Below are 22,319 nucleotides of genomic sequence, written 5' to 3'. Positions count from 1 at the left end.
GTGCCAGGTGCTGTGCTAAATAATTTACATAATATTAATTCACTTGATTCTCATACCTACAAGGCAGATAGGATTCTCTTATTTTACAGATGAAGAAACTAAAATCCACCGTAGGGGTGTCCATGTTATCCAGGCAGCAAGGTCCCGTGGTGCATGTTTCTTTAAACAATACAAGGAACACAGCATAGGAAGCACAGTGTTTCAGAGGGGCTGCCCTGACAAAGAACATAAAGATAATCTGTCTCTTTTGTTGAGAAAGTGCCTTACGTACTTGTGCTACTCCTAGGTACCCCATGGGTGTATATCTCTGTGCTGTGGTTTAAATAAACTCTTTCATCATAATGAGTTGGAGACAAAGGTATAGAAGAAGAGCCTATGGGGCACCCCAAGCTGAAGACGCCACAGTAGATAATGCCAACAGGTATACAAATCAAGGGATGGCATGTTCTCAAAAGTACATTGAAGCCAGAGTCAAGATCTCAGACCTCGTTTTACACACAAGTGAGGAAACTGGACCCAAGATAGTGTTTCACCCAAAGGCTCACAGCAATAGCTGGGCTCCTCTTTCCTGGTCTAGGATGTTTTCCTACACATAACTACATTGCTGCTAATTTTGAAGATTGAGAGTAGCTTCGACTGAGCTTCTCTGATGACAGAAGCAACCAAAACATATTCTCTCTTGACAATGGAGCTAGCACAGGCTCCCCAGGAGCATAGCTCAGCTGTTTTACCTCTTTGCCTTCTAATCCCTGCATTTGGTTTCTTTAATAAAGGGGAAAAAATCAAAACATCCTTTTCTTAAGCAAGAAGTATATTTCATCCTGTAGAACTCTCTAGGTTAATTGACTTGATTTGATTAATCCACAATGTAAACTTATATTAAACATCACATCATACACCATAAATATGTATAATTTTTATTTGTCAATGAAAAAAATTAATTAAAATTAATAGATAAAGACACATGCAGAAAAAAAAGAAACTAAAAAGAGAGAGAACTCCCTGGGACTCAGACCCAAGAGTACAGTACAGGCTGTAATTCCTTAACTTCTCCAAAATTCTCCTACTTGCCATGGCAGGTAGACACCCTATACAATGCGCATCCAAAGAAGGGAGCTGCTGAGTCAATGGAAGGTAACAGATGAGCCCCCTTTAAAGATTGGTGTGGGTGGGAAGACTGGCAAGCCACCGCTACAGCTGCAGAGGCTGCCAAAGCCTCTGAAAAGGGAATGTGAATCCTGCCCCCTCGATGTCACTGTTGCTAAGCCAAGCCAGCTGGGTCTAAGCAGAGGAGCCCATAGAGAAAGCTCCTGGCACAATTCTGTGCCTCCCCTTCCAATCCCTGAGTTGAGCCAGGCAGAGCCAGAACAAGCCTGTCACTTGGCCCTGGGGGCTTCCGTCTGCCCTGGACAAGACCCACGTTGGACCTCACCACTTGGAGAAGCCTGTTCAGGATGTAGTGAGGATGGCTGCACAAAATATGGCAGACATGGCTGAATCAGTTGATCCCCAAGAGGAAAGCCAACTCTGAGATGATTGTTTCAGACCATGAACTATGATCTGAGAAGATGGGAAATAAGCAAGCACAGATGTGTATAAACAAGGGTGGAGGAGGAGGGTGGAGAACACAGGAACCTATGCCCAACCAATTCAGGCCATAAAGCGCTTATAGCATATAAGGAAAATAGAGAAATCTTAGAATGTATGGAAACTAGAAAACTTGCTGTAAAAGAATAAAGAGCCTTAATATATTATAGCATGCTAAAGACATTCCATTTTATTACATGTGGGTTCATGCAACACTTACTACCAACAGGAAGAGGAAAAACTGAGTTAATCTACCCTTCATGTCCCACCTCCTCTGGGAAATCATCCCTCACCTCTCTAATTCACATAGGCCTTCCCTTTATGTGCCATGTCCTGTAACTATTTCTCCTATGTTTGTCTGTGTCCTTATGAAGTTCTCTGGGTCAGGCCAGGGTGTAGGCAGCAGAAGAGAACAGCCAAGGATTCAAATGTGGCTCAAAGTCTCAGGCAGGTCGCCAAGATCAGAACAGATGGTGAATGAGAAGTCCAGGTCTGAGGGATTGAAAGAATGAAGCAGTTCCTCTGCATCACAGCAGACCACCAGTTGAAAATCTAGGGAGACAAAAACAGCTTGAGGAGTTAGACAATTATATAAGTTGAAGGCAGGGAAGACTCAGAACTCAGCGGTTCAGAGAAATTGAAGAAAGAGTACCAAAGAGTGGGGACCCCAAACACAGGGTTGATCCCAGGGCAGAGGCCCTAATCTCTCTGCCCTCGTCTATGATCACACTTCCTACCATCATTCAGTCATCCCTAACCCCAAGAAGGAGTCATGGTTCTGGTTATGACATTTCGAAGGGCGGATGCTGAAGGGGCACTCAGTCAGTATTTTAAATATGCTGGCCACCCTTGATTAAGACAGCTGTAAAGGTGCAGAGAATGGACAGAAAAACAATTTTTACTCCTTTAAAACAACACAGATGTCATAAACTTTCATCCCCCAGTGCTTCGCTGCATTGCATGCCTGGTCAAAGATTCATTAAGAGATAAGAATAATTGAAAATCAGTCATTCATTGTTTAAATGCTAAAACTTCTGTTTCAGTCAGCCACTCTGAAACTGTCATTCAGTTAGCAAATACTTATTGACTGCCTATTGCATGCCAGGCACAGTGCAAGGCACCAAGTACTGTGGGGAATAAGAACAGTAGTAGTCCCTGGCATAAGAAAGCGTCCCATGCAGCCTAAACCGTATCTCCCTTCTTTCCTCCCTATCTTCCTCTCTCCCTCCCTGATTCATTATTTTTTTTTGTTTATTATTATTGTCTTGGAAGAGTAATTTTCATAGGTTCTGGTTAAACCCCACGATAAGTTTTCTATATAGCAAAATTATTACTATATCCCTTTAGAGATCCAAGTTGTTACTTTGTTGATCAACCTAAAATACACAGAGTAAAACAATAAGTTATTGACACTCCAAAGTCACAAAAGGCAAATGTGAATAATTATAAGATGAATGACATAGGGAAATGGTATTTAAATGTTGGCCTCTCTTAACAGCTTTTAAAGTCATATCTGAAATGTTAAGAGAATGTACATATTAATACTTTCATCTATCTATGCATACATACCCACACATTTATTTAGATGGATAGGTACATATATACATACATATATGTGGTTCTCTTTGTGTCCTTAGAATGTACATCAATACCAGGAAAGCTTAGAATATTAGAACTTGATATTCTAAGAACATTTTTGAAACGAGAAAACTGAAATCCAGGTAATCACTTAGGATCAAAGAACCAGTTTAAGAACTGGCTCTCACATCTCTTAGCTGCCAGCAAAGGGATGTTTCAATTGACATCATTTTAAGGATTAGCTCAAATTTGAAAGTAAGACTCTTGCACCTACAAAAAGCACAGAGATTTCAAAGAGCAATTAAGAAGAGACTCAAAAACATGATCATTTTAACTAACAAAATAAAGGTCAAATGAACAATGAATTCTAAAATATTCTCCTGTTCTTTTTATTTATGTTGTTCAGCTGGTAACTGTAGCTGGTGACTGTAGTCTTGTGTCTATGGTGCATCTCCTAGAAATTGGAGCTAGCTTTTTAAAAAAGCTAAGTAATTAATTTTGAAATAAACCCAAAAGAGCATACAAATTAGTGTTTATACAGTAATTATGTGGGTCTTCAGCCACTGGTTGCATTGTCTAGACCATTTATACAATGCACCCTTGCAGCTCAACTGCTTTTAGAATTTGGTCCAAAAGGAAAAGCATCGTACCCAAAATTTCTGTTGGACAATCACCTGTAGTATAATAGTCTGCTTGTAAAGCCTGATTTTAAAGAACAGCTATTGAAACAGAATACATCTGACATCAGAAATGTCACATTAACAGTTTAGTAAAAAGTCTCTAATGCTGCCGGCTTTAAGATAAAGAAACAACTGAGGTCAGGTGTGGTGGCTCATGCCTGTAATCCTAGCACTTTGGGAAGCCAAGGCAGGAGGATCACTTGAGGTCAGGAGTTTGAGGCTAGCCTGGCAAACATGGTGAAACCCCATCTCCACTAAAAATACAAAAATTAGCTGGGTGTGGTGGCCCACACTTGTAGTCCTAGCTATGCAGGAGGCTGAGGCAGGATAATCGCTTCAACCCAGGAGGCAGAGGTTGCAGCGAGCTGAGATTGCACCACTGCAGTCCAGCCTGGTGACAGAGCGAGACTCCATCTCAAAAAAAAAGAAAAAGAAACTGAGGACTTTTATTTTCAAGTAAAGGACATGGCATGTGTCAAATAAATGCACACCAACATTTCAGGACCAATATTGCAGGAATGCATGTTTGTTTTATGCAGATTTAATGCTAAATGTCCATGAATACTAAATATTTATTATTAATACTAAACGTCTACTATTGCCCATGTGAAAGCATTGACTGGAATTTTACAGTCATAACCATGTGTCAAAGAGTCAGAAAGTAAGAAATAAGGTAAATCGGGAAAAAGAGAGATTATTCATAATTATTCAAGTTCCCTCAAGACAAGAAAAGTTATCTCAGTCCTATGTGTATTAGTCTGAATAAGCTAGGTTGTGCTGTGGTAGCTAATACTTCCCTAAATCTCAGTGGTTTAACCCAGAAAGGCTTATTTCTCAATCCCACCAGACCACTTGTCCTCCAGGACAGCTGAGGGACTCAATCTGCTTAAATCTTATTGCTGTGAATCTTGGTGCACGTACTTTCAAGGCCACCATGACAACAGAAGAGAAAGCTAAAGGTAGCACATCAGTTTTCAAATGCTGCAGCTCATTGGCTACCTTCCTGCCAAGGGGCTGAGAGATGTGGGGAGCATATGGATATTCTATGAGGGGCAAATGTCTGTCCCACCATATGACCCTAATCTGTCTCCATCTAAATATAGGCTAGGAGAAGTTGGAGGTTAATTCTCGATTGTTCTAAGGAAGATTTCTCCAGCCCCCTTTTAATTTGTCACACTCCGATCAATGCCAACACAAATGTAGAAACTGATTTGTTTGTTTATACAACAAAATACTCAGGAGCTTCTTTACCTTCATGGGATGCACAAGTCCTATATATATATATTATATATATATTATATATATTATATATATTATATATATATTATATATATTATATATATATATTTTTTGAGCAGCCTTCTTAGCAGATGCCAGCGTTTCTCAACCTACAAAAGATTGGGCTTTCTGTCAACTCCTGCGGTGCCTACACATTTCCTAGTCCCAGAAACACCCGGATTAGGCAGTTGTGAGATTTGAGTGCTCAGTGTTGTAACAGGGTTTTGTTCTTTTCCATGAAGAGTTTGCTTTGTACTATTACTTTCTATTTCAGGTCATGGTTTTGCTTACGTTAATTTGATGATTCTCTCTAGAAAGTATACCTGAACTGTACAAATTCTGCCTTAGCTCTTAATAGCCTCCATAAATTAAGGTTGCTGGAGCCCCTACCATTCCCCAAAAAGTGGGTGTGGGAATATTTCGGGCTTCTGATCTTGTCCTTTTTTGTTTAAATTTTGCTCAAAATTTTTTTTTTTACCGTAAAGAAATCTCCATATAATATTTTCCAACAGAGTTAGCCAAGAATATATCCTAAGTGGGAAGCATTACATGTGTTACCATTTAGCACTGATATATCACTTAAATATGCATTCAATTGCAATGTGCTTTACCCAGCAGTGTGAACTCATGTGTATGGCACTGAATGGGTGTCTTGGGTTCCCTTCCAGCTCCCAAGCACTTTCATGCCATAACCTTGATTGAGTCACTCAACATTCTTCTGCTGGGTTTCCACAGAGAGGCGAGAGATGAACAGAGATGACATGTGTAAAACACACATTCTTTGAGGAGAGGGAAAGTGTTACATGAATTGAATGGTGAGGCATGAGTACTTGGCTGTTCGTCTATATGATATATGTCATTTATGGGAGATGTTAACTCCATCCTGAGGGCTTAAAAATAATCGGGGTATTCAGATTTTACTCTGACGATTCTGCTAAGATACATGAAACCAGAGTGGTCTTCTAACGTAGCTTCTTCCATGACCCTGAACCCCAGCGCCAGAATCCCTTATTTAACTTCCTATTCTGCTCATTTATTAAAAAGCATTGGGTTTGTTTCAAGACTGCTTAAACTCTCTGCCTTGTGTTTGCTGATTAAGCTAGAAAATATTCTTATTTTAACAGCAGATTTAATTTTATTTATTTACTTTCCTTATCTCCTCTGGTCTCCACTCATAATCTCCGAACTTGCTTCATTAGAAATGTACAGTTAAGCAATATTTTCCAGGAAAGAAGAGTTTGGGGACCTGCTTCCTGGAAATATTAACAGACCCTTGGTGAGAAAAGGCTTCTCCATTAAAATTGCTTAGTAAAATCAAGACTAGGAGGTGCTTTGGCCAATGTTTTTTAATGCATTTGATGCAGTTTTATTTTAAAGGACATTAATTAAAATTTTACTGGTTTTTATAGCCCATTGAAGTAGATTTAATACTGTATTTTATTTTTCCTTGTTAGCTTAAGCCTGTCATTTTTTTTTCTCTGACTCCTCCTCATAGAACAGGTCTTGAAGTATCTAGGATTTGGTTAATTGACAGAGCTTAGTCAAAGAATGTGTCTGTTTAATAAAGAAAATAATGCCCAATCTATACTGGGTCCTTATGTGATAAAATGGACCAAAATAGACATGAAAGATGAATTGGAACCACATCATGGAAGACACCAGAGACTATGATGAGGAGATTGGAATGTACTAAGTAGAAGACGAAGCTCCTTGAAGAGTTTTGAGGCAGAGATAGTATGTTATCTCCATTGTGTTTTAACAAAATGAACTTGTTAGTATAAAGATTGAATTTAAAAAAACAATATAAATGGAAAAAAGACCATTAAAGGGACATTTTTAATGAGACCAAAGCTAGTCCAGTAGCAGTGAGAATGAAGAGAAAAGGATAGACTGAAAGGCATTTCAAAGGTAAAATGAGCAGATCTTAATGGCCAATGAGGTAGAGGTGGTAAGGACTGAAATGTGAAAATAAGACAAAGGATGAATTAATGAATCTGTGTTGTATAGATGGTAAAAGGAAAATCCAGTACTTCCAGATCCACTCTCGTCCCCATATTTGTGTTTCATGGCACACCTAGTCTGAATCTAGTAGATTATTAACAATCTGCCTTTCTTGTCTACTATGTAACCTCGGCCTCAGTGACTATATTTCTGATCAGTGGATGCTTTAGGAAAGGCAGGGCAACAGGATATTTTAAAAATCCAGTTCTTCCTTTATCTCAATTGCCTTAAGACTGAACAAAGGCAAGGGACCAATGCACAAAGAAAATGGTGTTGCTGAAAACATTCTGATGCTTTTGTTCTCCACGGCCTCTGAGCATTGATACCTTGGTGGCCAACAAGCTACCTGACCACTTAAGATCTGGAGTACCTCAGGACACAAAAAGGTACTTCATAGGAAGATTTATGGTTGCAGCAAAGCATTCCATAGTGTTGAGCTTTAGCAATAAACTTGAATATCACCAGATCAGCTTGGTATGACATTCATAAACAATAATTTTAGTTTACTGTCAACTATATGCAATGTCTGAGCAATCTTCTTGGACTGTTGCTCAGGTGACCTATTTATTTATGCAAAAGATGGGTCATCTTAACTCAGTGGACTAAGGTCCCAGACCTAATAGTTGTTATGAATGTGTAGGCAAACTTGAGGGCTAAATTCAGTTCTTTTTCTCAGTCATTTGGCTGGGGGGAGAAAAAAGAACAGAAAAGGACCTATCTCTGTCTCCCAGCATGATTACTGAAACCAAGTTTAAAAAGAAACCTATACTGATTATTCAATTTCAATGTCTCCCCCAAATAAACACCCATTGAAGAACTTGAAAGATACTGGAAAGATCAGAAAGCTACTCAAAAAGCTACATGACTGTTTAACGCAAATGAACTAATTGTCTATGGGTATTACAGGGAGTGAGTGATCAAGGCCTGGGTAGTTGAATAAGGTATCATCAATAAGCTGGAACTTGAATGAGGCCTTCAAGGACAGGTAGCTCTTGAGTGAGTAGAGAAGAAAAGGCAGAATATTTAGGAAATGAGAAATATAGGCTCACACAGAAAGTGTCTGTGCTGATGAAGAACACCTATTTCAAATTGAATCCAGATAGAGAATTTATTGGCTCATGTCACTACAAAGTCCAGGAGTTCATCTTTAAGGACTGAAACACCACTACCAGAACACTACCTCTAATCTTCTCTCAGCTCTTTTTTCCTCTGTGTTAACTTTACATTCTGGAAGGCACTCAAACAGTTGCAGCAAAATGGTGCACCATTCTCAGCTGTCCCATAGAGCAGTGAAAACTATGACTTCTCTCTAGTTGATCCGCAAAAGTCTCAGTATCGCCATTGATTCCAACCATCTTGAATTATCTACTCGTTCCTGAACCAATCACTACAGTAAGGAAGATGAAACATCCTGATTGGTCAAGCTGGCATTACATGGATCAGGGAATGGGGATAAACAACTAGTTATCATTAGATATTACTGAAAAGGCAAAACACAAGATGTTCCCTATAGCACTAATGCATTTTGATATTATACAGATCAATCTGAGATGAATAAAAACTACTTTAATGGAGTAATGAAAAATATGATAGGAGGAAGTACTGATATAAGATCAGCAACAAAGTAGTATGGATTTTTTTCTGTAAAACATGAGAAATCATTGAAGATTTTTGAACAGGGAAGTGCCATTTCAGTTCAAACGACACTTTAATTTCAAATATGTCAACTAAAAATGTTCTTTCACAGAGAAGTTTGCTAAATGCATTGAAGTTACATTTTTATAGAAAAGTTATATATTTAATGGAAACTGTTAATATACACATTAGTTTTCTCAATGTCTATGAAGTTGTGTGAAAGTGAAAAAGAAGGCTTCATCTACCCAATAAATTAATTCTATTAGAGCAATTTCACATATTAGCTGACATGAATGTAAAGTGAAGAACAGCCTCTTATTTGCTTTATTCATTAATTCATTTGTTTATATGTCTTTCTCTCTTCCACATCCAAGGCATTCAAGCCATCATAGCTTGCATCCAAAGGAAAATATGGATTTGGTCCCCTGCATCTGAATAATGTTACTCTGGAATGACAAGACAACTGAAAGTACCTTCTTCACTGAACCCCAAATCTGTGTCAAGAAGCATGCTAATATGCTAGACAGCATGCATACTTTGCAAGATGAATATTATTGTTCCCATTTTACAGATGAGTAAGCTGAAGTTTAATGAGTTTACAGAAAATTTCCCCAAAAAAACACAACTGGTAAGTGCCGGGCATGTAGGAGTCAAAGCCAGTCTGTCTAACTCCCAATCTGTGTTCTTTTTACTATACTAGGTTGCCTTTCCACAACTGAACTTGCTAATGGTATTGTTTCTAAGGTCACTGACTAGAGTCCCAATTTAAAACAAACAAAAAAAAGCTTCACTGTTGATGAAATTACTTGTCAAGAACAAGTTTCTGGTTTGCCAAAAGCAATAGCTGTTCTACATCACAAGAACTTAAAATCACTCTCTCACACACACACACACACATACACAAATACATGGAGAGAGAGAGAGAAAGTTTCACTGTATACTACTTATGTATAATTCTGATTTTTGTAAATTAAGTGTAACGTTAAATTTCCTGGAGACTTTGAATATTTTAAAAGAATGCTGGAATGGGTATTTTTGTAAAGTGAATGATATATTAATGTGGCTACTTTCTGTATTACTCATTATTCATTATTTCAGATATGAATATAGCTGAGTTATCCTAAAGTCTGACCCCCACGCATTTTGAAGCAAAAAGTATGATCAGTGTGTGGCTTCAGAAAGAATAAACAGCCAAAATGTTAAATATGTTATCTGAAACCTAATATTGTTTTAAACTTTATGCCATTCTAAACATGAAAGATGAGAGCTGGCTTTGAGCTGGGAACATGGTTAGGTACATCCGGTCACCTGGGGTGATATTTTTTTCTAAATCCTTCATCTACATTAGCTGCCTCCCAATCAACACTTTTGAGTTCTGATGTGGTTGATGTATTTGAGCAAAGCTACCCTTGAGGCTCATAAAAGAGGCAGTTAGCCTCTCACCAACTCTAATGTATATGGAGAGAGCCCCATAAAATAAACATACTTCAAGTTGTTTGCCCAGTAATGGATATTTGACCTACCCCACACCCTTCCCTAATGCCAGCATAAGTGGTGTTTGAAGAGCAAAGCAAATTCCATTTCAGTTCTAAAGCTTGGTCTGATGCACTTTGACTAATATTTCAAACTTTAGGGAGCAGCTTCACCATAAAGATCTCTTCAAGCAGCTCTTGAGTTGGCCATTATTCCACAAATGTAGCAATTATTTCCATCTACACAGAAAACACAAAGGCTTCTGTGGCCAGCTGAAAAGAAGAGTTATACTGTAAACACTATAGAAACCAAATAGCTAGAACCAATAGCTGAAAGAAAAGAATGATGGCCTTTCTTTATCCATTTGCCTAACTCCCAATCAGGAAATGATGTTCCTTAAATTCGGCAATGCACTGCACATGAAAAGTCTGAAAATTTCATAGACCACTGATGCATACTTACCCTTAAATAAACTGATCCTATATAAATAGTCAAAGATGTGCATCAAGGTTTAGCTACAACGATGTTCATGGCAGTCTTATTTCATTAGTGAGAAATTGAAAATGACCCAGGTATACAACAAAAGGTGTGTCAGTTTTCTATTGCCATATAACACATTACCACAGGCTTAGTTGCCGAAAACAGCACAAATGTATTATATTAAAGTTCTGTAAGTCAGAAGTCCATTGGGCTTTTCTGGGTTCTCTGCTTCAAGTCTTCACCAAGCTAAAATCAAGGTGTCAGGGGAGCTGCATTCCATAGCGGAGGTTGTAGGGAAGAATAGGCCCCTGTTTCCTCTTGGTAGTAGGACTGACATCTTTGTTTTCTTACTGATTCTCAGATGATAACTGCTCCTAGCTTCTAGAGACCTCCAAATTTCCTGGCTTATGATGGGGCCAGTCCTTCTCACATCACAGCTCCCTGATCTGTGCTTCTGCCTCCATCTTTCATTATGAAATGCCATGTGATTACACTGGGCCCATCTGATAACCCAAGAAATTCTCCCTGCCTAAAGATGAGTAACCTTAATTCTATCTGCACAAAAGAAGTTGTCATGTAATTTAACATATTCACAGATTCCAGGGATTAGGGCATGTTGATCTTTGGGGACCTATCACAATAGGGTAGCAGTAAAATAAAGCATGGAATATGCATGAACTTAAATGGAATATAAGTAAAAGTGATTGTGTTAAAAAATTACTGGCATAAGAAAATGCTAAGTAAAATACCACATTGAAAAACATTAAAATTAAAAAACAGGTTACTCAATAGTATGGATGGTTTCATCCCATTTTTTTGTAGAGTGAAAAAAATCTGTTTGATATATGTATGACAGGTCTGTATATCTCTACCTAGCTCTACATCTGTTCAATACTTGTATATCTATCTAGGTAAAAAGGTATACCCCAAAATATTCATTGGTTATTTCTGAGGTTGGGGATTACAGGTGAATACTTTTAGATTAACATATATTTTTGAACTTATCTAAAATGAATAAGTATATTATCTACAACACACGCACACGTACATTTTTTAAATTAAAGTTTTCTTTTATAAGTAGAGTGCAGTAGCTAATCCTTTGGCCAGCCAATTGACCAACCTAAAGCACCAAAAACTGTTTCTGTAAGATATAGTGAAATTCTCACTCTCATGGGACTGAACCCAATTCTAGTTCTCAGCCACCCAGCTCTAGTTCTGAAAAATCGAATCTTTATCCCAGTGTCCCAATAGCTATTAAACAAAATTATAAGAGAAGGATCTCACTGACTCTCTACAGCTGCAATAATATATTGTTGTTTAATGTCATCTCTGAGAAATTTTCTGACATGGTGCAGTCTGAAACATCCATATGTCAGTGTTGGGTTTGGTTTAAATTTCAGATAGCTAAAAATAAGTCTTTCTCCTCCTTTTGGTTTTAAAGTATAAGCAGATCTAGCTTTGATGTACAAATCTTATAAACGAAACAATTTGCTGTCCCCACCCAAAGACAGCTAGTGCAACTCCAGAAAGAAAGATCTATCCTTAACAGTTTACTCTGCATTCTAAGTGTGGTTTCCGTAAGAACATACTGTATACAACTTTGTTCCTAAGGTTATTTCTGTTGGTGCCAAATTGACTTCAATTCACAACAATCATATGGTGCATTCCCATGTAACTTGGATGTTCTGTTCTAAAGAAAACATAGGGTTTTTTCTTAAGCAACCATTTCTGTTTATGGAAGATTCACCTCCACCCTGGGGATTATACTTAGAGTCCGTCTCCAAATGTGGATTTAATAATTAAAAGACATAGCAAATACTTTGATTTCTACCTAAGAATAGACTGAAGACCATGTCCTATCAGTAGCAGACTGGTGGGGCACCTTAGAGCATTGTGGTTAAAAAGTATGGGCTCTCCTGCCAAAGTCCTGGGGTACCAAAATCATTGGGTTCAAATCCTGTCTCTGACCTTTAATCTCTATGTGACTGTAAACCAATTATTTAATCTCTATATTTCCCAGTTTGTAAAACAAAGATAATATTACCTAAATTCAAAGACTATTCTGAGGTTTGAATGAATTAAACATATAGAGTACTTGGAGCACTGCCTGATATATGCTAGTAATAGTAGTTGCAAGAGAACCATGTAAAGGAGACAGTAATACTATTTACAGTATTATCCATGATGAGAGAGAGAGAGAGATTCTTTAAAAGAATCATGACCATTTACCAAGAGTGCAAGAAGCTAACATTCTACTAACTAGCCTGCTACCCTCCTGCTTCAAGACTTTTGAGCTGGCTTTTCTCTGAACCACATGCTTCCTCACTGAAATATCCATATGGTCCATTATCTCACTTCCTTCAGGACTTTGCAGTAATAACTTCTCAGTGAAGCCCATCTTGGTCACCCAATTTAAAATTACACCACCACCCTCAATCTGGTACTCCCATTCCCCCTACCTGATTTCTTTTCTTCTACTGCACTTTTAACATTCCACATAATTTATTTATTGTGTTTACTGTTACATAAGTTCCAGGAGAGCAGAGATGTATGTCCTTTTCTTTTCTTTTTTTAGAGATGACATCTCACTCTGTTGCCCAGGCTGAAGTGTGTCTGTTTGACATTGTTAATATATCCTCAGCATCTACAATAGCACTTGACTCACAGTTGATCTCTATAAATATTTGCTCAGTGAGTGAATAGCCACTACCTTGAAGAGTAGTGGCTTTGTCTAAAATGGAATCAAAGATTCAACTCAGAGCTCCCTCAACAATCCTAATGGGAGCCCCAGATAGTATGTGTTTCTCCCCTGATAAGATCTCCAGTGGAAGTTCTAAATTGACAAAGTGAGGCAGAACAGTAGTCTGGATCATCAAGATGGCTGACTAGAAGCTCCCAGCACTTGCCTCCTCCATAGAAAAGACCCAAAACAATAAATAGATAACTCTTGTATGGAATATCTAAGGAAAAACACTGGAATCCAGCAAGAAAGTGACAAAGACCCTCTAAGGCATGGAAATTCATGATGGCAGCATAGAGAGGGAAGCAAAGCAGGCAGCCAGGATGAATTCAGAGTCAAGAGGGATTCCCCACTGCAGGGAAAAGATAAGCAGAAGATCTCCAGAAATCCACATTCTCACCACAGATACCTACAATCATAACTACAGGAGAGTCCTCACAGACTTCACAGGCCCTGAGTCCAGTATACTGGGGAGCTACCTGGAGCCAATGTGGCTGCATTATTCCAGAAAGAAGATTCACACTTGGTCGCCCTCACTCCCCAGGAACCAGGCTGCTGCAGCAAAATAGCATTTTGAGAGCAAAGAAACCACCAGAGTACAACCTGACAGAGGGCCCAATAACATTAACATTTCCACATCCCTGGGACTCACTGACATCTTACCACATTCATCCAAAGGTCTGCAGCATTGTGACACCAGCTGGACCCAGAGGTACAGCTGAGAACCCAGCACCCAAGTTCATGTAGCACCCTACACCCTGGGGAACAGGAAGTCCCGCGCAGCAGAAAGGCTGCCCACAGAACCCAGGGAGCCAATGTGTGCCCTTCCAGAACCTGAGAACCACCTGCCTGGGGACCAGAGAAATGGCCCACCCATGGCTTGCTGCTGCTCCCCACCAATGACCCTGCCACCTCCAGCAGGGATGCTGCATGCCCACATGTGCTACCTAAAGGCACAAGGACCAGCCTACCCAATGTTCACATCCTCAACAAAACCATGCCACAGCCACCACAAACAACCAAAGCCTAGGCCACTGAGGCAGTTGCAGTCAAATAAATCATATGGAGACTACTGCACTCACATAGCATCAAAGCCAGAGCAACCTACCCAACCTACACTATAGAACACTACAGGAAAAAGTCTTTCCCTGCGAAAGCAACTCTATAGAATTGGAAGAAGTGACTGTTCTGCCAGATGCACAAATATCAACATAAGGACACAAGAAATATGAAGAAGCAAGGAAATATAACACTTACAAAGGAAAAAAATAATTTTCCAGTAACAGACCTCAAAGATAAGGAAATCTATGAAATGCCTGAAAATGAATGAAACACAATGATCTTAAGGAAATTCAGTGAGATATAGGAAAACAAATAGACAGTTCAACCCAATCAGGAAAACAATTCATGGTCTGAATAAGAAATTCAACAGAGATAGATATTATTAGAAAGAACCAGATAGAAATCTTGGAACTTAAGAATTTAATTAATGAAATAAAAAATACAATTAAGCATTTCAACAGTAGAAGAGCTCAAACAGAAGAAAGAATATCTGAACTTGAAGGATGGTTTTTAAAATAACCCAGTCAGACAAAAACAAAGAAGCAGACAATACGAAAGAATAAGGAAACCATATGGGACATACGGACACCATTACACAAATAAATATTTGCATAATGGAAGTTTCAGAAGAAAGGATAGGCAAAGTCATAGAAAAATAACTAATAAAATAATAGCTGAAAACTTTCCAAGTCTTGTGAGAGATATAGACATCCAGATACAGGGTGCTTAAATATCCCCAAATAGGTTCAACCCACAAAGGACCTCTCTGAGACATATTATAGCTAAGGTGTCAAAAGATGAAGATGAAGAGAGAATTCTGAAAACAAAAACAGAAAAGCATCAAGTCACACATAAGGGAATTACCATCAGACTAACAGCAGATTTCTTAGAGGCCAGGAAAGAATGAAATGATATATTCCAAGTGCTGAAAGAACACTGTAAAACAAGACTACTATTCCTAGCAAAGCTATCTCTCAGAAATGAAGGAGAAATAAAGTCTTTCTCAGACAAGCAAACTCTGAGGGAATTCATAAATTAAAAGACTGTCCCTACAAAAATTATACTTCTGGAAGCAAAAGAACAATATCTACCATTACAGAAACAGAAAAAAAACACACAAAAGTACAAAATTCACTGGTAGAGCAGATACAGAAATTAGAAAAAGGAAAGAGTCAAATATTATTACCACAGTAAATCACCAAACCACAAAGATAAACAATAGGAGAGTAATAAAGGAACAAAAGATATGCAAAACAGCCAAAAAATAATTAACAAAATGATGTACATTCTTACCTATCAATAAGAACCTTGAATGTAAATGAATTAAATTCGCTAACTATAAGATAGGCTGGCTGGGTGCAGTGGCTCACATCTGTAATCCCAGCACTTTGGGAGGCTAAGGCAGGTGGATCATGAGGTCAGAAGATCAAGACCATGCTGGCCAAAATGGTGAAACCCCATCTCTACTAAAATACAAAAAAATTAGCCAGGTGTGGTGGCACATGCCTGTAGTCCCAGCTACTTGGGAGGCTGAGGCAGGGGAATCTCTTGAACCTGGGAGGCAGAGGTTGCAGTGAGCCGAGATTGTGCCACTGCACTCCAACCTGGCGACAGAGCAAGACTCCGTCTCAAAAAAGAAAAAAAAAAAAAGATAGGCTAAGGCTGCCTAAATGAATTTTGTTTAAATCCCTAACTATATGATGCCTACAAGAAACTCACTTCACCTGTAAAGACAGAGCCTGAAAGTGAAGGGATGGAATACGATATTCCACACAAACAGAAACCAAAAGCAAGCAGTAATTGCTATTATATCAAAAACATAAAAAGAGACAAAGAAGGTCAATGATAAAGGGATCAATCCAGCAAAAATATATAGCAATTCTAAATATGTGTGCACACAACACCAGAGCACACTCATATATGAAGAAAAAATTATTAGATCTAAAGGTAGAAATAGACTCCAATACAATAGCAGGGAGGGACTTCAACACCCCACTTTCAGCATTGAACACATCTGGACAGAAAATTTAAAAAAAATTAAACATAAACTTAATTGTAGACCAAATGGACCAAACAGACCTTTACAGAACATTTTATCTAACAGCTACAGAATACACATTCTTTTCAGCAGCATATGGAATGTTCTCCAGGATAGATCATATGATGGGCCACAAAACAAGTCTCAATAAGCTTTTTAAAATTAAAATTATATCAAGTATCTTCTCAGACCACAATGGACTAAAACTAGAAATCAGTAACAAGAGGAACTTTGGAAAAAGTACAAATACATGGAAATTAACAAATATCTTCCTGAATAACCAATGAGTCAATGAAGAAATGAAGAAGGAAATTTTAAAATTCTTGAAACAATGAGAATAGAAACATAACACACCAAAACCTGAGGTTATAGCAAAATCAGTACTAAGAGGGAATTTTATAGCAGTAAATGCCTACATCAAAAAAGTAGAGATTTCAAATAAACAACCTAACAGTGCACCTAAGGATCTCGAAAAGCAAGAACAAACCAAACCCCAAATTGGGAAAAAGAAGGAAACTATAAAATCAGACCAGAACTAAATGAAATACAGCCCCCAAAATACAAAAGATGAACAAAAAATTCATTTTTTTTGAAAAAATAAACAAAATCCACAAACCACTAGCTAGACTAGAAAATTATGAGAGAAGATCCAAATAAATAAAATCAGAAATGAAAAAGGAGACATTACAACTGATACCACAGAAATACAAAGGATAATTAAAGGCTACTTGAATAACTATATGCCAACAAATTTGAAAACCTGGAGAAAATGAATAAACATCTGGTCACATATAAGCTAACAAAATTGAACTAGGAAGAAATAGAATACCTGAACAGTCCAATAACAAGTAACAAGATTGAATCATTAATAAGAAGTATCCCAACAAAGAGAAGTCCACAACAGAATGGCCTCACTTTTGAATTCTAGCAAACTTTTAAAGAAGAACTAACATCAATTCTTTGCAAACTATTCCAAAAAATTTAAGAGGAGGGAATTCTTTCTAATTAATTTTACAAGGCAGCATTACCTTTATGCCAAAATCAGAAAAGGATACAACAACAAATACACAAAACAGACCATTATGCCTGATGAACGTAGCTGCAAAAAATCGTCAACAAAATACTAGCAAACCAAATCCAGCAGTATATCAAAAAGCTAATACACCATAATCGGGTGAGATTTAACTCAGGAATGCAAGGATGGTCCAACATCTGCAAATGAATAAACGTGATACATCACATCTAAAAATGAAGAACAAAAAACATATGATCATCTCAATAGATGCCGAAAAAGCCTGTGATAAAATTCAACATCCCTTCATGATAAAAACTCTCAACAAATTGGTATAGAAGGAATATACCTCACACAATAAAGACCATATATGACAAACCCACAGCTAACATTATACTGTATGGGGAAACATTGAAAGCTTTCATCTAAGATCTGGAACAAGACATCTAAGATCTGGAACAAGAACTTTCACTGCTCTTATCCAACACAGTACTGGAAGTTCTAGCCAGATCAATCATGCAAAAGAAAAAAAAAATGAAGAGCATTCAAATTGGAAAAGAAGAAGTCAAATTGTCTCTCTTTGCAGATGACATAATCTTACATATTAAAAAAATTCTAAAGACTCCACCAAAAAACCTTTTAAAACTAACAAATTCAGTAAAGTTGCAAGATACAAAATCAACTTACAAAAATTGGTAATGCTTCTAATACCAATAATGAACTAGCTGAAAAAGAAATTAAGAAAGTAATCCCATTTACAATAACTCCAAAAAAAAAAAATACCAAGGAATAAATTTCTCTGAACAGGTTAAAGATCTCTACAATGAAAACTACATAACACTGAAATTCAAACTGGGTTCAGTGTGTACTGCTTAAGTGATGGGTGTACCAAAATCTCACAAATCACCACTAAGGAACTTATTCATGTAACCAAATACCACCTGTTCCCCCAAAACCTATGGACATAATTTTTTTTTAAAAAAAGACCAATTTGGTTTATATACTTGGCCTGATTATTTGTATAAAGTGCAGCAAGAATAATTAGTTTTCACTAGCCTTTTAAAATTGGCTTTGATGGAACTTTGTTGCATAAAAGGAGTCTAAAAAAACAACCACTGAACTTGTAGAGGGCACAAGCAAACAGAAAAATATCTCACATTCCTGGATTGTAAGAATTAATATTCTTAAAATGAGCATGCTATCCAAAGAAATCTACAAATTCAATGCAATCCTTATCAAAATACCAATGGCATTCTTCACAGAAACAGAAAAAAGAAACTCCTAAAATGTGTATGAAACAATTAACCATGAATAGCCAAAGCAATACTGAGCAAAAAGAACAAAGCTGGAGGCATCACGTTACCTGACTTTAAAACATACTACAAGGCTATAGTAACCAAAATAGTATGGTAATGGTACAGAAACAGACATGTAGACCAAAGAAATAGACTAGAGAACCCAGAAATAAGTCAATGCATTCACAGCCAACTGCTTTTTAACAAAGGCACCAAGAAAATGCATTGAAGAAAGGACAGCTTCTTCAATAAATGGTGATGGAAAAACTGGGTATCAGTGAAATTAGATTTCTATCCCTCACCATATACAAAAATCCACTCGGCCGGGCGCGGTGGCTTATGCCTGTAATCCCAGCACTTTGGGAGGCTGAGGTGGGTTGATCACAAGGTCAGGAGATCGAGACCACCCTGGCTAACATGGTGAAACCCTGTCTCTACTAAAAAAATACAAAAAATTGGCTGGGCGTGGTGGTGGGTGCCTGTAGTCCCAGCTAGTGGGGAGGCTGAGGCAGGAGAATGGCATGAACCCGGGAGGTGGAGGTTGCAGTGAGCCGAGATCACACCACTGCACTCCAGCCTGGGCGACAGAGCGAGACTCCATCTAAAAAAAAAAAAAAAAAAAAAAAAAAAAAAAAACAACTCAAAATGCACAGAAGTTTAAATGTAAGACCCCAAACTATTAAACTCTTAGAAGAAAACATAGGAGACATGCTTCAGGACATTAGTCTTGATAAAGATTTTATGAGTAAGACTTCAAAAGCACAGGCAACAAAAGCAAACATAGATAAATGGGACTATATCACTCTAAAAAGTTTCTGCATAGGCAAGGAAGCAATCCACAGAGTGAAGAGACAACCCGTAGAATGAGAGAAAATATTTGCAATCTATTTATCCAACAAGGGACTAATGTCTAGAATATATAAGAAATTCAAACAACAGTAAAAAAATACAAATAATCCAGTCTAAAAATGGAGAAAGGATCTGAATAGACCTTTCTCAAATGAAAATATACAAATTGCCAACAAGTATATGAAAAAAATGCTTAACATCACTGATCATCAGGGAAATGCAAATCAAAACCACAATGAGATATCATCTTACCCCAGTGACAGTGCTTATTACAAGAAAGACAAAAAAAATATCAAATGCTTGCAAGGATGCTGAGAAAAGAAAACTCTTACACATTGTTGGTATGAATATAAATTAGTACAGCCACTGTGGAAAACAGTATGGACGTCCCTCAAAAAACTAAAAATAGAACTACTGTATCATTCAACAATTCCACTACTGGGTATTTATCCAAAAGAAAGGAAATCAATATATTGAAGAGATATATGTACCCTCATGTTTATTGCAGTATTATTTACAGTAGCCAAGATATGGAATCGACCCATTCACCTGTCAACAGATGAATGGATAAAGAAAATGTAGTGTGCCTTTTCTATATACACAGTAGAATACTATCAGATATCAGATATAAAAAAGAATGAAATCCTGACACTCACCACAATATGGCCAAGCCTGGAGGACATTGTGTTAAGTGAAATAAGTCAGACATAGAATCACTCATATGAAGTTAAGCACACAGAAGTAGAGAGTAGAATTGTAATTATTAGAGGATGGGAAGGGTAGGGGGAAGGAAAGATAAGGAGAAGCTGGTTAACAGACATGAAATTACAACTAGATAAGAGAAATGAGTTCCAGTGTTCTATAGCACTGTAGGGTGATTATAGTTAACAATAATTCATTGTATATTTTCAGATAGCCAGAAGAGAGGATCTTGAATGTTCCCAACACAAAGAAATGATAAATATTTGAAGTTATGGATATGTAAATTACCCTGATTATATACATGTATTGAACTATACTCTGTATCCCACAAATATGTACAATGATTATGTGTCAACTAAAAATTTAACAATAATAAAATAAAGAACAACGATCTGGATATCAGGAGACCATGTTCCAGTCTACTGCTGTCTCTAATAGTCAAGTCACTTCAGTTTTCCATGAATGTAAAATGAGAACCAGGTTATTGGTCAAGGCTTCTCTGGATGTAAAACATCCATGTTTCTGTGAGTAAATGAGGATATAAGCAATTGGCTCAGCATTTATTCAATGCCCGTATTCTCAGCCTGCATCAGTTGCCCTTATCAATGCTTCTGACAGAGCCTGGCTGGAGTCAGCAAAGAAAGCTACATTTTCCTATTTGCATGCGTCTAGTTGAGCATCCAGGTGACTCAAATAGAAAGACTGCTCCAAGAATCCTAATACATGTTCATTGTTATTTTGTATGAGACCTCTCAAGAAACCCACAACATAACTTTCTCAATTTAGTCCAGTGACTGATAAATTTTGAAATATCTCTTGCATTTCTCTGTTTAAAAACTCTGACATTTTCTGTTGGGGGAAAAATATGTGTTTTGGCCTCTCTTCCTCTCTATGCCAGTAGTAAAGTATTGGTTTTAAGCAATAATATCAGAAAGGAGTCTGATAACACTGAACAAACATGTAAAAATTACCCACATCTTTGGACAGAGTGAGATTCACATTGCCTCCTGGCCAGATTTTGGGGCAGAGGCTGCTGTGGCAGTATTAGTATCTTTATTTCCTGTCTATGTTTTCTGGTCTGTTCTGGGAAGTGGAAGGCCTATAGTATATCTAGATCTTATCTTCTCTCCTCATTTTCCCCTTGAGATATAGATAAGATTTGGCTTGAATCTCTAATTCAGAAGCTCTCCACAAGATTTGTGTGAATTCATGGGTTGGTTACGGCTTGTATTACTTGGGGTTCAGTCTAAGCTGCTAAAATAAAGAGGCTCAAAACAGCAATGGCTTAAACACAAGAGAAGTTTACTCTCTCCTAAGTAATGGTCCAGAGATTTCCAGAACAAGGAAGGTAAAGCTACTCAGCCATCTTCAATGCCTGAGATTACATGCCTGAGTTCAAGGTGACTGGTCCAGCTCCTGCCATCATATCTGCATCCCAGATAGCAGGAAGAGGGAAATAACACACAAAGCTCATGTCTATGCCTTATAAAGGCATAGTGCAGAAATGGCACTCATTATTTCTGCTCATACCCCATTGCCCAGAGCTCATCTCACTGCACAACTAGCTGCAAAAGACCTGGAATGGGAGTCATTACCTGGGCTGACATAGATCAAACTACAAAAAGGAAATTCTATGCATAAAGGAAAGAAAAAATGGATGCTGGAGGACAATCAGCAGTCTCTATCAGATCCTGCCTCTAGCCACTCAGATATCCATTCACACCTTTTTTTCCCCCAACAAATGGAACATACTTTTCCCATCCCTGAGGAATCCAGCCCAACATTCCGTCTAGCTCCAAGTCTGGGCTCTCCCATGAGGGGCAGTCTTTTCCATCAAGTCTAAATAGGATTTCTCTTGGTCTAGTGGAGAGTTATCTTCCACTTCCACATACACACACACACACATACA

At 37.8% G+C, this 22,319-nt stretch overlaps 1 protein-coding gene and 1 long non-coding RNA gene across 4 annotated transcripts in view; one reads left to right on the top strand and one right to left on the bottom strand.

The window, feature by feature from the left end:
- RNLS (renalase, FAD dependent amine oxidase) overlaps nt 1-20,815 on the top strand; it is a 411,796-nt gene extending 390,981 nt beyond the window's left edge. For 2 of the 3 annotated variants that reach the window (XM_017016382.3, XM_011539924.4), the window contains one exon: nt 9,134-20,815. The gene's annotated coding sequence lies outside the window, so the exon portion shown is untranslated. The remainder of the gene's footprint in view (nt 1-9,133) is intronic. The other variant, XR_001747122.3, reaches the window with a different exon arrangement.
- LOC101929727 (uncharacterized) overlaps nt 1-22,319 on the bottom strand; it is a 248,010-nt gene that overhangs the window by 187,784 nt on the left and 37,907 nt on the right. The gene's annotated exons all lie outside the window — the stretch shown is intronic.

This window comes from Homo sapiens, chromosome 10 (genome assembly GCF_000001405.40).
Source record: "Homo sapiens chromosome 10, GRCh38.p14 Primary Assembly".
NCBI classification, from domain to species: domain Eukaryota; kingdom Metazoa; phylum Chordata; class Mammalia; order Primates; family Hominidae; genus Homo; species Homo sapiens.
This window is presented reverse-complemented; position numbering and strand designations above follow the sequence as displayed.